The 12,685-nt window shown below is 40.1% G+C and overlaps 1 long non-coding RNA gene across 1 annotated transcript, besides 1 other annotated feature; it reads left to right on the forward strand.

Moving 5' to 3' along the window:
* The first annotated feature begins 6,230 nt into the window (after positions 1-6,230).
* On the forward strand, positions 6,231-11,003 carry LOC124902736 (uncharacterized). The gene is made up of 3 exons (XR_007062860.1): positions 6,231-6,326; positions 6,454-6,591; positions 9,369-11,003. It is a non-coding gene; the product is annotated as an uncharacterized LOC124902736 (long non-coding RNA).
* Positions 7,647-8,148: an enhancer, noted in NCBI's record as "H3K4me1 hESC enhancer chr11:100549285-100549786 (GRCh37/hg19 assembly coordinates)". NCBI's record gives its function as "activates a minimal SCP1, AML or CMV promoter by ChIP-STARR-seq in primed H9 embryonic stem cells {active_cell/tissue: H9 hESC(primed)}" and the evidence as "EXISTENCE:reporter gene assay evidence [ECO:0000049][PMID:30033119]".
* Positions 11,004-12,685: the final 1,682 nt, after the last annotated feature.

The raw sequence follows: 12,685 nt of genomic DNA on the forward strand, positions 1-12,685 counted from the left end.
ACATGACCTCCAATTATGTCCCATACAATCCATAACAAAAATTTAGGGGCCACTTTCCTCCTGAAGTATACCTGAATTTCTCTCTCTCTCTCTTTTTTTTTTTTTTTTGAGATGGAGTCTCACCTGTCGCCCAGGCTGGAGTACAGTGGCGTGACCTCGGCTTATTGCAACCTCTGTCTCCTGGATTCAGGTGATTCTCCTGCCTCAGCCTTCCAAGTAGCTGGGATTACAGGCATGTGCAACCACACCTGGCTAATTTTTATATTTTTAGTAGAGACGGGGTTTCACCATGTTGGCCAGGCTGGTTGGTCTTGAACTCCTGACCTCAGGTGATCTGCCCACCTCAGCCTCCCAAAGTGCTGGGATTACAAGAGTGAGCTACGCCCAGCATACCCTGAATTTCTACAGAACAAGATATGGATAAGACAGTACAAACTGAGCTCTGATGAGCCACACTACATGATAAAGTTTCAAAAAGTTGCCTAAAAGCACAAATCATTTAGATATACTGTCAAAATACCACAGAATTGCACCTATTCTTTTAAATTACATTGTACACACTTTGTTTATGTCTTCTACGTGAATGTTCAAAGAACAGAGACTGTTGTGATATTTTGTAGTTTTGTGTCTTCTGTGACTACGATGATTTCTCCTCTGTCTTCTACCACCCCCCACCTTCAGTACTAAATTGGGTTGTTACCTTAAAAGGCAAAAATTAGTGACTATATTTGTCCCTGTTGAAACAGGGAATAAACAAACAGCTGCGGTTAGTGCGTAGGCATTTAAGACATTCAGAATGCAGATTGTGGTTTAGATATCTGTCTGAAAAATGGGATTCCCAGGATAGGAGTCCATTTAGAAATTAACACAGTGTACAGGTAGAGCAAAGACATCGAAGATAAATAAAATCTCGAGGACTAGCTCAATTCCTTTATAAGCACAATGTTAGACAGTAAAATACACAATAATGTTAATCTAACTCTGTGACGTGGGCAGACAATTTTCTAACACATCAGAAAATACATAGGGCAAATCTGTTTTTAGTCTGTGTGTTTTCCTCTTTACCAAATGGAAAAAAAATCCTGCAATCTTGCACCAAGATCCTGTTTGTGAAACACAGAAGGCCATATTAGTGCAAAACAAGAATGCCACATTTAATTTAGCTCAATATAATGACTATTTGAGCACACATTGGGTGACAGAGACTGAGCAAAAGAGTGGGCATACGAACTGGTTAATACTGAATCTCAAGTAGAAAAGTAAAATATAAAAGCCCAATCTACAAAATGTGCAAGACAGAAATTTCTCTACTTGGCCATATGGAGAAGGAGGGTTTGAAACCACACATTTTGACTCCTGATCAGGTGTTCCATCCACTGTATCACAGGTTGAAGATTCCACATGTCTATGTTTATCCATTCCCACCCTGTTTACATCAGGTCAACAAATAGAATGTGTATTACGTACTCCATGAATCCTGTAGGAGAAATAAGCCTAGCTCAAAGGAAATAGTGGGTAACTCTCACTGAGCATGGCTGGGAAGCTTCCTGATGGAAGTAATCTGTGTAAGATATTGAAAAAATGATTTTTCCTTGGATGAGGATGAGAAAGAGTGGTCCAGAGGTAAGAAAATCATGATGAACTTGGAGGAGAGTTTAACATACCTAGAGAGTAAAATAAGTAACCCTGAGGAGTTGGAAGAGAAATCCCCTTCCTAGATTATTTGTTCTATTTTAAGCAGGGAAATGCTTGGTTGAAGCCATAAATGAATTAATTATTCTTCAAAACCACTGAACTGTACAAGTTTCTGTGGCTTCTAGGGCTAAGGGGATCTTGTTCTCATAATGAAGTGGAAGCAGCTATTAACATAACATAAAAATCTATCTGTACTTTGCCATCTTGGCTTTGTTCCATCAAAGCCATTCTCTCAAACAGTATCCGCACAGTGCTACAGTCATATTTACACATCGGGGACAGAATTGGACGGAACCCATTTCTGGTCTCCAGTTCTTTATCCCAATCCCAACCCCACACTGTCTATCATCCTGGTTAATTAAGAGAGGGTATTCCACATTAGAAAGTAGACTACTTTCTGTACATAGGCCAAAAAATCAGTCTTCTCAAATAAAGCCAAATATTGTATTTCAGGTTTGTCTTGTCCTTCAAGGTAAACTGAGTTTCACTCTCTCTTCCAGCCCCAGTGAAGGTGTAACCATAATTGAAAGGCAGAGCCAAAATGCTGGGAAATTGAGCCAGGACAATCTACACGCTGTGGAATTTATCCTGTGTAATTGCAAGTTAAAAGCCACAATTCCTTCTCATCCATAATGTTTAACCATACTTTGGCTGAAGGTTCAAGTAAAGGTTTTCAGCCTTTCCATTCTATTTTTAGTTCTCATGATGCATCAACCAAAATGTAATCATAATGTTCTTGTTGCAGTATTTGAAAGCTCTCTAAGCTTAACCTAAACAATCAGACCTCTGGAAAATTAGGGAAAATATGAACTTTTCAGCAGATTCTCTAGGAGAAAATAGGATTTTGAATTACCTTATTAGAATCAAATTACATGTAGAAGCATATTACAATTATTTTATAGTTTTAATTTTTTTCCACTCACAAATGTGAACACGTGCTAGGTCAGCACACTCTTTTTTTGTCTGTGTTAGAAAGGAGCAAACCAAGTTTTGCCTTCATTTAGTTTTCCGGAAAACATTTATTGAGCAGCTATGGTGTGTCAAATAATTACAAATAAGCAGGACAGGGCCTTTGTCCTTGGACAGAAGAGATAATGAATAAAGTAAGTAAACATGTGTGTTTAAGTGTGCAGCACAGCATTACAGACATGATGAAAGAAATTAGGACAGGAAGCAGTTGTTGTATGAAGTTGACTATGGGTCTCAGAAAATGAGCCATCATCATAGGGAACAGTACATGTTTGCCAGGTACTGCTGAGACATGGCAGAATGGTGAGGTTGACAAGGGATTAGGGAAGGGTACTCCAGCAGTCACAACAGGAGCAAAGGCAAAGACACATAAGTAGGCTTAGTCCAGTATTTCTCAGACTTGTGTAGTATTTAGATCTCTTATAAAGGAATATATTTCTCATGTATCCTGGAGTCAATTTGGATTATACGCGTAGAAACATAACACTAAGTATAAACCCTAATGCTTATAGCTGTTACATAATTATGAAACCAAACAGATAAACAAATTAATTATAAAGAAAAATATAAAACTAGTATCATGTAAATAATATTAGTTTAATGGTATGACTGATAATTTTTGCTAAAACAATATTGTCTTGATTGCTATGAATCTTTTGAAATTGATACGCCTATACTACTTTGTCCTAAGTGATGATTCAATTATTTCAGCTTTTTTTTTTTAAACTAGAACCATTGCCAAATCTTTGTACAGCAAGCCGTGACATCACTTGGTCTTCATTTGTAAAATAAACTAACATTTGAAATATTGTCTCCTCTCTTTACTCATTAGTCCATGATGATAACGCAAGTTTGTGGTATTAGTAAGAAAGTGGTCATCGCTGCAGGGGGCAATGGCTTGTGCCTGCAATCCCAGCACTTTGAGAGGCTGAGGCAGGTGGATCGCTTGAGTTCAGGAGTTCCAGACCAGCCTGGGCAAATGGCGAAACCCCGTCTCTACAAAAAAAAAAAAAAATATATATATATATATATATATATATATAATATATATTAATTTAATATATATAATATATATAATTTAATATATATTATATATAATTTAATATATGTAATTTAATATATATTATATATAATATTAATATATATTATATATATATAAATTAGCTGGTCATGGTGGCATGTGCCTATGTTCCTAGCTACTCAGGAGGCTGAGGTGGTAGGATCTCTTGAGCCCGGGAGGCAGAGGTTGCAGTGAGCCAAGATCGCACCACTGCGTTCCAGCCTGGGCAACAGAGGAATACCCCATCTCAAAAATAAAATACGAAGTGGTCATCATCCTAGACCCTTATTACTCAAAAAGTGTTCCAGGGAGTAGCAGCACTGGCATCACCTGGAGCTTGTTAGAAATATCTTGGGCCATACAGGACTTACTGACTCGGACTCAGTGCCTTAACAAAATCTCCAGGTGATTCCTATGCACACGGAAGTTTGAAAAGCACTGATGTCGATGATTCAAAGTAGGCTTAAATCATTTTAAAATTTTCAATCAAAATTAAAACGTAAAATTGCTCATAGATGCTTCTTAAACTTCTGATGACCCCTCTCGCTAACCCATTAGGGGAATTTAAAGAAATTCAGCTGGACTGAAGCATAATTTCAGAGGCAAAAGATAAGGCAATCAATAATGTTGGAGAGATAACAGAGACTGGTTTGGCACACGAAAGAGTTTGGACCCTATCCGTTAATCAATGAGGAGCCACTGAAGGACTTGAAGCCCTAGAGAGAATAATGAGATTTGCTTTTTTTAGAAAGATTATTCTGGCTGTAATCATGGATTAGAGAACTGCTGACTGGAGCCAGGGAGGCAAGCTAAGGACTTATTTTAATTGCCTGGGCAGTGAGGACTGACCTAGTGCTGAAGCTGAGGCTACAGAGGAGATAGCAAAGAGGTAGTTTGGTGACTGATTGCATGTCAAGTTTCCTAGATATCCAACTTAGGTAGAGAATGCAATTTGAAGAGCAGGTTTAGGAAAAAGGATAAGTGTACCAATATGTACATGCTGAGCTTGTGGTACCTTTGAAATATCCATCGCGGAGATGTCCAGTGGGCAGCTGCTACAAGGGCCTGCCTGGAGATACAGATATCGGAGCAGTGAAAGAGATTGCAACAAGAATCATCAGAGAGGTCAGGCGAGGTGTCTTATGCCTGTAATCCCAGCACTTTGGGAGGCCGAGGCCGGCGGATCACCTGAGGTCAAGAGTTCAAGACCAGCTTAGCCAACATGGGGAAACCCTGTCTCTACTAAAAATACAGAAATTAGCCAGGCATGGTGGCAGATGCCTGTAATCCCAGCTACTCGGGAGGCTGAGGCAGGAGAATCGCTTGAACCCGGGAGGCAGAGGTTGCAGTGAGCTGAGATCGCGCCACTGCACTCCAGCCTGGGGTACAAGAGCGAGACTTCATCTCAAAAAAAAAAAATCCTCATCAGAGTAACTCATGGAGAAAATGTGGAATTCAAAATGATCGCCTTACCTTGCTAAATAATCTACACAGTTAAATGGGGTTCCTGGTGTTTATGAAATGTGTACTTTTGACCAAAATTTTATACTCATATATTGTCACAGTTAAGGGTCCTACTATGTTAACAGGATTAATCACATTGTTTTATTTATTTATTTATTTATTTTGAGACAGAGTCTCACTCTGTCACCCAGGCTGGAGTGCAATTGCGCGATCTTGGCTCACTGCAACCTCTGCCGCCCGGGTTCAAGCAACTCTCCTGCCTCAGCCTCCCGAGTAGCTGGGATTACAGGCGCCTGCCACTGCGCCTGGCTAATTTTTGTAGTTTTAGTAGAGACGGGGTTTCACCGTCTTGGCCAGGCTGGTCTTGAACTCCTGACCTCGTGATCCACCCGCCTCGGCCTCCCAAAGTGCTGGGATTACAGGCGTGAGCCACTGCGCCCGGCCTAATCACATTGTTTTAGAAATAATTTAGCTAGTCATTATTTCTAATTTTTGAAGATGCCCTGAAAAACCTTGGAAGAGAACTATGATTTTTATTCTTCTTATTTGAGAAGAAAATATTTATGGTTAGGTAACCCTTTTTTTCTGTCTAGAGAAGGCTAGAGAGTAGCAGTCTCCTTTTTACACATAACTCCATAGTCATTTCTTATTGTCTGGAACGGCAGAAATCAATCATTATTAGAAAGAAAATCTCACTAATAGATCATTAGGCAGGTGAATTGTTTTCAAAACTGGAAAAAGACAGTTTTTCATGTTTCCCATTGAGTCATCTCTCACATGGAGTTCACTAGAGATGGAGGGATAACCTGGAAATCTCTAGTCTTTCTGCTCCTCCCTGTCAAACAACCTCATTCGCTATTTTTATTATTGTTTCCTTCCCTCTTCAACTGTCTCTATCTCCCGCATGAAAGGAAAAGTCAAATCATTTCAGGTCCTGAGTCATTCTTAAGCCTTCTGACTGAGGCAACCTATCAGACAAGATCCCAGCATACCTATTTCATGGCGCAACTGGCCTTGGAAGCTAACACCAGGGAGTCATTGTCATAACAAAAGTTCCCTCCCAAGGGAAGAGACTGTGTCAGGTGACAACCCACCTACACCTATCACTCCCGCCCAGTCCCAGTCCCATCTTCTCTGTGTGAGTTGAACCCAGAGGCCTAGGATAAAACTAGGCTTGTAAAAAAAAAAAAAATTATTGTTTCAGTACTGTCAGTTATTAAATTTAAATAAGACATTCTTCTTTTTTTTTTTATTTTTTGAGACAGAGTCATGCTGTGTCGCCCAGGCTGGAGTGCAGTGGTGCAATCTTGGCTCACTGCAACCTCCACCTCCCGGATTCAAGCAATTCTCCTGCCTCAGCCTCACGAGTAGCTGGGATTACAGGCACCTGCCACCATGCCCAGGTAATTTTTGTACTTTTTTTGAGTAGAGACGGGGTTTCACCCTGTTGGCCAGCCTGCTCTCAAACTCCTGACCTTGTGATCTGCCCACCTTGGCTTCCCAAAGTGCTGGGATTATAGACATGAGCCACCGCGCCTGTCCAAATAAGACATTCTGATAGTATTTTCTGAAGATAAAGGCTATCCTCAAGTGCACCTCAACAGTGAGAGTAAAAGCAAGAACATTAGATATGTAATGATGTAATTGAAGGGTGGTGTTCCTATTGTCAGTTCCCTAGCAGAGGCCCTGCTTACAGGCTGGCTCCCCCTGACACTGGCATCTAGCTAAGCCTCTGTTGGCCATTCTACCTACCATTTTTCCCCTTGCCTAATCTCAAAGCTGTATTCTCAATTTCCTTTTCTAAGACTGCTCTTCAATCTTGATGTCTACTAAGAAATGTTCTGGGTCAGCTGTTCTCAAACTTTAGCCAGCAGGAGGATTACCTAGAGGATTTGTTAAAACACAGTTGCTGGGACCCACCTGCGAGTTTCTAATTCTGTAGGTGGAAGGTGGAGCCCAAGATTTTGCAGTTTTAACCACTTTCCAGATGATGCTGATGTTGTTTATCTTTAGGTCCCCAGTATTTTATTCATTAATTTAGTCAAAAAATATTTACTGACCACACACTATATGCCAGACATCCATTTTGCATAGCATAGCATTCTCTTTCTCTAGAGCAATCTTTTCCTAGAAGCCACCAATGACAAATTCAAGTATTTAAGGATTTAGGAATGGTTCTACTTAAAACAGTTCTTCCTCCAATGGTTTGATTAGCAAACGTTTTATTCAGGACAGTAGTAAAGGAAGGCTCATACTAATCTAGGCTCAATTATTCCAAAAATCTTAATTAGTGAATGGAATGATTAATGAGCTATTTTTTTCTTGCCCTCCAAAATAGGAATTTGGAGTTACATAGGCCATTGGCTAAGACTCAGTAAAGATCTTGGTTAGATCTTGTTTTGCTTTTTTTTTTTTTAAGCTATAAAAGTCATTTTTGGAACAATTTGCCATTTGATGATATTAATATTTTATCATGTACTAATTTTCTTTAAGTTTTAGTTATGTTGGAGAATTTCCTTATTCTTTGGTGATTCATGTTAAAATATTTAGAGATTATGTGTCAAAAATATCTAAAATTTACTTTATTTATTTATTTATTTTTGAGACGGAGTTTCGCTCTTCCACCCAGGCTGGAGTGCATTGCTGAGATCTCGGGCTCACTGCAACCTCCGACTTCCGGTTTCAAGCGATTCTCTTGCTTCAGCCTCCCAAGAAGCTGGGATTACAGGGGCCCGCCACCACACCGGGCTAATTTTCGTATTTTTGGTAGAGACCGGGTTTCACTATGTTGGCCAGGCTGGTCTCAAACTTGTGACCTTGCGATCCGCCCACCTCAGCCTCCCGAAGTGCTGGGATTACCGAGCCCGGCTAAAATTTACTTTAAATGTTTCATATAGGCCGGGCGCGGTGGCTCATGCCTGTAATCCCGGCACTTCGGGAGGCCAAGGCGGGCGGATTGCCTGAGCTCAGAAGTTCGAGACCAGCCTGGGCAACGTGGCAAAACCCTGTCTCTATTAAAAATACAAAAAATTAGCCGAGCACGGTGGCCTGCGCGCCTATAGTCCCAGCGACTTGGGAGGCTGCGGCTGGAGAATCGCTTGAACCTGGGAGGCAGAGCATTGCGGTGAGCTGAAATTGCCCCACTGCACGACTTCAGCCTGGGTTTGTCTTAAAAAAACAAACAACTTTGTCTTAAAACAAACAAACAAACAAAAACACCAAAAACTTTTCTATATCGATATGCATGTGTGTGTGTATATATATATATATATATATATATATAAACAAAATGAGGAGTGAGAAAACAAATATGACAAAATGTTGATGTTTGTTGAATCCAAGTAGAAAGCATGTAGCTATCCATTGCGTTATTTTTTCCAACTTTGCTGTAAGTTTGAAAATTTTCATAATACAAAATTGAGGGAAAAGCAGGTTTAGAAGATTTATAATGATTCATTAAATATTCATTTTCAGTACCAACAAGATTTTCACCATATGGTAAATGTTGTTCTACTTGACCACATAATGTAATAGAGTTCAAAGAGCTCCACAAATCTTTGAAGCATTCTTTGAAAGATCACAAAAAAATCATAAGGGTAAAATACACTGCAACATTAAATGGAACTGGGACTAGTTCTACTTTTATTTATCTAGTAAACTAAAGTTTAATCTCAATAATCCACTTTTGTCTCACAATAAAATTTCAACAAACTGGCAGCTAGGAAAAAAATTACTAACAAGTATAAAAATAAGAACTTTACTGTTCTGAAAAAAAATTGTTCTTATACCTAGTTTTGTAAAACTGACAAATTTTGTAAAATTTTCTAATTCCATTAGCATTAAAATTCACATTGACAGAATGTAAGATAATATACCTTTTAAAGGATAATACTATGTATCTTTATTCCTTGTAAAGGAAGTTGCCGCTGTGACTACGGGTTACAGATTGTTTCAGATTTGTTCTTTTTCCTTTTTTTTTTCCATCTGAAATGTTCAAACAGTAGAGACTGTGGGTCTGTTCTTTTTCAATGATCCTTCTTATCACTTTCATTAGTATGCTTCACTGTGATTGAGTTATGACTTCTCTTTGTTGGGTGTGGAGCCATTTATTTGAGTTAGTTTCCTTAAGCTCCTTCTGGGCTAGTTATTTTCCTCATCACGCTTTCACTGCCTTTGCCAGGGCCTGTTACAGTGTGCTGGATGGCAGCAGTTCTAGCGCAGATGTACTCATCGCCTGGAAGCACGGATAATGAGCTCCACTCCTTTCATGCTCAGCAGAGCTCAAGCAACACGTAGAGACCTCCGTGCCAAATGGGAGAAGCCTTTCTCTACAAATCTGTGCAGACACCTCTACCGCAGAAGCTGAAGAATGATTTTTAGAAGATTATAAGGCACTCAAGTATTAAAAACATTTGTTAGGTATCATCTGTGGGCTGATAGCATGCAAAGTGCAAGAGATACAAAGAAATAAGATTTAATCTAAAAGCTTAGGGTCTAAACGCAAAAAATGTAAATGTGGAAAAAGAGCTATATAAAAGTAGGCTGGATGTGGTGGCTCACGCCTGTAATCCCAGCACTTTGGGAGGCCGAGGTGGATGGATCACGAGGTCAGGAGTTGGAGACTAGCCTGGCCAACATAGTGAAACCCCATCTCTACTAAAAATACAAAAAATTAGTCAGGTGTGGTGGCGGGTGCCCGTAATCTCAGCTACTCGGGAGGCGGAGGCAGGAAAATCGCTTGATCCCGGGAGGCGGAGGCTGCAGTAAGCAGAGATCGTGCCATAGCACTCCAGCCAAGGCGACAGTGTGAGACTCCGTCTCAAAAAATATATATATATATACATATATATATATAATGCGTATGATGTGTCCCAACGTATTCACTGTGGTGTGGTCTTGGAGTTAGAGACTTTGCTGTTCATCCTGGGGCAAGTTGTCTGGGTGTTTTTGTTGGCTTTTTGTGGTTCTTGGTTTTTGTTTTCGCATTTTGGGGCTTCAACAATCTCATCCTCATTATAAAATTCCTACCTCCAGGGTTAGTGTGAGGATTTGTAGGCCTCGTGGGACATGGACAGCGTGGTTGCTCAGTAAACATTTGCTTCCTTTCTGTGTGGTCAGTGGCTGCTTTGAAATCCAGCGGAGGCCACGCCCATGAGGGTTTCAGTGAGAGGTAAGAGAGGAACAGCACTTCCTCTTCTAATGCAGCTGCAAGCCTCTGAGCACACATGGGTGGAGTGTCAACAGCACTCTAGCTGTAATTGATTGTCATTATTGGTCGGAGGAGATTTCTTGTTCTAACTTTGAGTCATAGAGGTATAAAAATGTCTCGTGTCTAGAGCTTAAAATAACCCAAGTGAAACAATAGATGTTATTTCATTATTAGCATAGGACAGTGTCCGGCACATGGTAAGGGTTTAATAAATGATAGTCATTATCGTTATCACTATCATCCTTAATTTTATACTTGGGAAAGGTGTAAAGCCTAAAAGTTAAATTATCCTAAGTCACACAGCTCATAAATGGCCTTTGGCTGGCCATTTGATTAATATTGCTGCTATAATTTATTAGATTGAAAATTTGATTAGGGCTGGATTGAGGTAAATTTACTCAAAATTACTGTTGTATTTCCAGCATCTACAGCAGCACAGAAATATAACAGATACTTATGAATATTTGTTGAATGTGTGTGTGTGTGTGTGTGTGTGTGTGTGTGTGTGTGTGTGTGTGTGTTTAGCATGGCCTTTTTACCAAGGTAGACCTGGATTGAAATCCCAACTCCAGTACCTTCCAGATATTATACATAAATTTAGGAAAGTTAATCACTTTTCAGTTATAACTTTCCCACTTGTTAAAAATGAAGCTAATCAGGCTGGGCACGGTGGCACATGCCTGTAATCCCAGCACTTTGGGAGGCCGAAGCGGGCAGATCACCTGAGGTCAGGAGTTCGAGACCAGCCTGGCCAACACGGTGAAACCCCATCTCTACTAAAAATACAAAAATTAGCCAGGCATGGTGGCACGTGCCTGTAATCCCAGCTACTCGGGAGGCTGAGGCAGAAGAATCATTTGAACCTGGGAGGCGGAGGTTGCAGTGAACCGAGATGGCGCCATTGCACTCCGGCCTATGGTACAAGAGCGAAACTCCATCTCAAAATAAAGAAATAAATAAAACTTTAAAAGTGGGGCTAATCAGATTTAATACCTATTTCACATGCTTGTGGATAAGCTTAGATGGGGCAATACATGCAAAAACTATCATGCCCAGTATTGGTGGAGGCTGCTTCTTTTCATTTTGTCTCCTTTTCCTGTGCTCTTTATGAAGTTTTCTGTCAGAGTTAGCAAACATCATGATTTGCCACAAGAGGGCAATACTAAATTGAAATCAAAATCTGTGCTAAAAAATGTCTTTTCCTAAATTAAGTGATTACCTCTCTCCCTCTCCTTTTTCCTTCTCCCCACCCCTCATAAATGTAGTTAGTTGTTGAGTATTTCTTGCTTAGACTTCTGTTCTTTTCCTTCAACCCATTCATCCGAAATCTGTCATCATAATAAAATCTAGATTTGGCAGGGACTTTAGAAGTTATATTGTGCAGTGGCTCACACCTGTAATCCTAGCACTTTGGGAGGCTGAGGTGGGAGGATTGCTTGAGTTTAGGAGTTCAAGACCAGCCTGGGCAACATAGCCAGACACCATCTCTTAGAAAAAAGGAGTCATATTGTCACATAGAACAAATTCCACTCTCTGCAGCTATTCTTCCCCTCTAGTTGACCTTGACTTCTGCTTCTGTGTCCCCCTCCGTTAAGCTAACACAACAGCCCTGAGTGTTTGTGCTGCACTTTTCTTTCTGAGAAAGTGCCTCTTAATTATTCTAACTTTACCTCAAACTCAGCATAGGAGACTCAACCTAAAATGTATATTTCTTCTAAAAAAAATAACACTTCTGAGTTGTATAGGCTTAAATCTCAGAGTTATGTTGGATTCTACCTCATCCACAAAAATCACACTATATTTCCTTCCTTTATTTAATCTGCTTACTGCCCATCTGTTGCCCAATCTCATGTGTACTTACCCCGTCTAAATTCTCTTTTCTCATCTCTCAGTCATTTGACTTTTTGGTCTTCCAACCATTGCTCTTTAGTCCATCTATTGGATAATGAGCTCTTGGAATCCATAGACTCATACAATGTGGGCTATGTTCTGTACTCTTCCTGTGAGAGACTCCCATTTCCTACCCCCAGACAAAGCGAAGTTTCTTTTTCAACCCGGACTACATTTAGCATTTGTCTGTGCTTCATGACAACCATGGAGAGGAAGCAGGGAGAGCTGTATGCATTTGAGAGGGGCTCTACAATTTGTGAGAGCATTTTTTTTAAACTGGAAAAGACAATGTTACTAAGTCACATAGGCTCCTGTCACTAATGATGTGTACATTTGCCCATCAGAAATGCAGTGTCATACACCAACTAATTTTTTGAGAAATAGTGATGTTAAGAGCA

This window comes from Homo sapiens, chromosome 11 (genome assembly GCF_000001405.40).
Source record: "Homo sapiens chromosome 11, GRCh38.p14 Primary Assembly".
Classification (NCBI taxonomy): domain Eukaryota; kingdom Metazoa; phylum Chordata; class Mammalia; order Primates; family Hominidae; genus Homo; species Homo sapiens.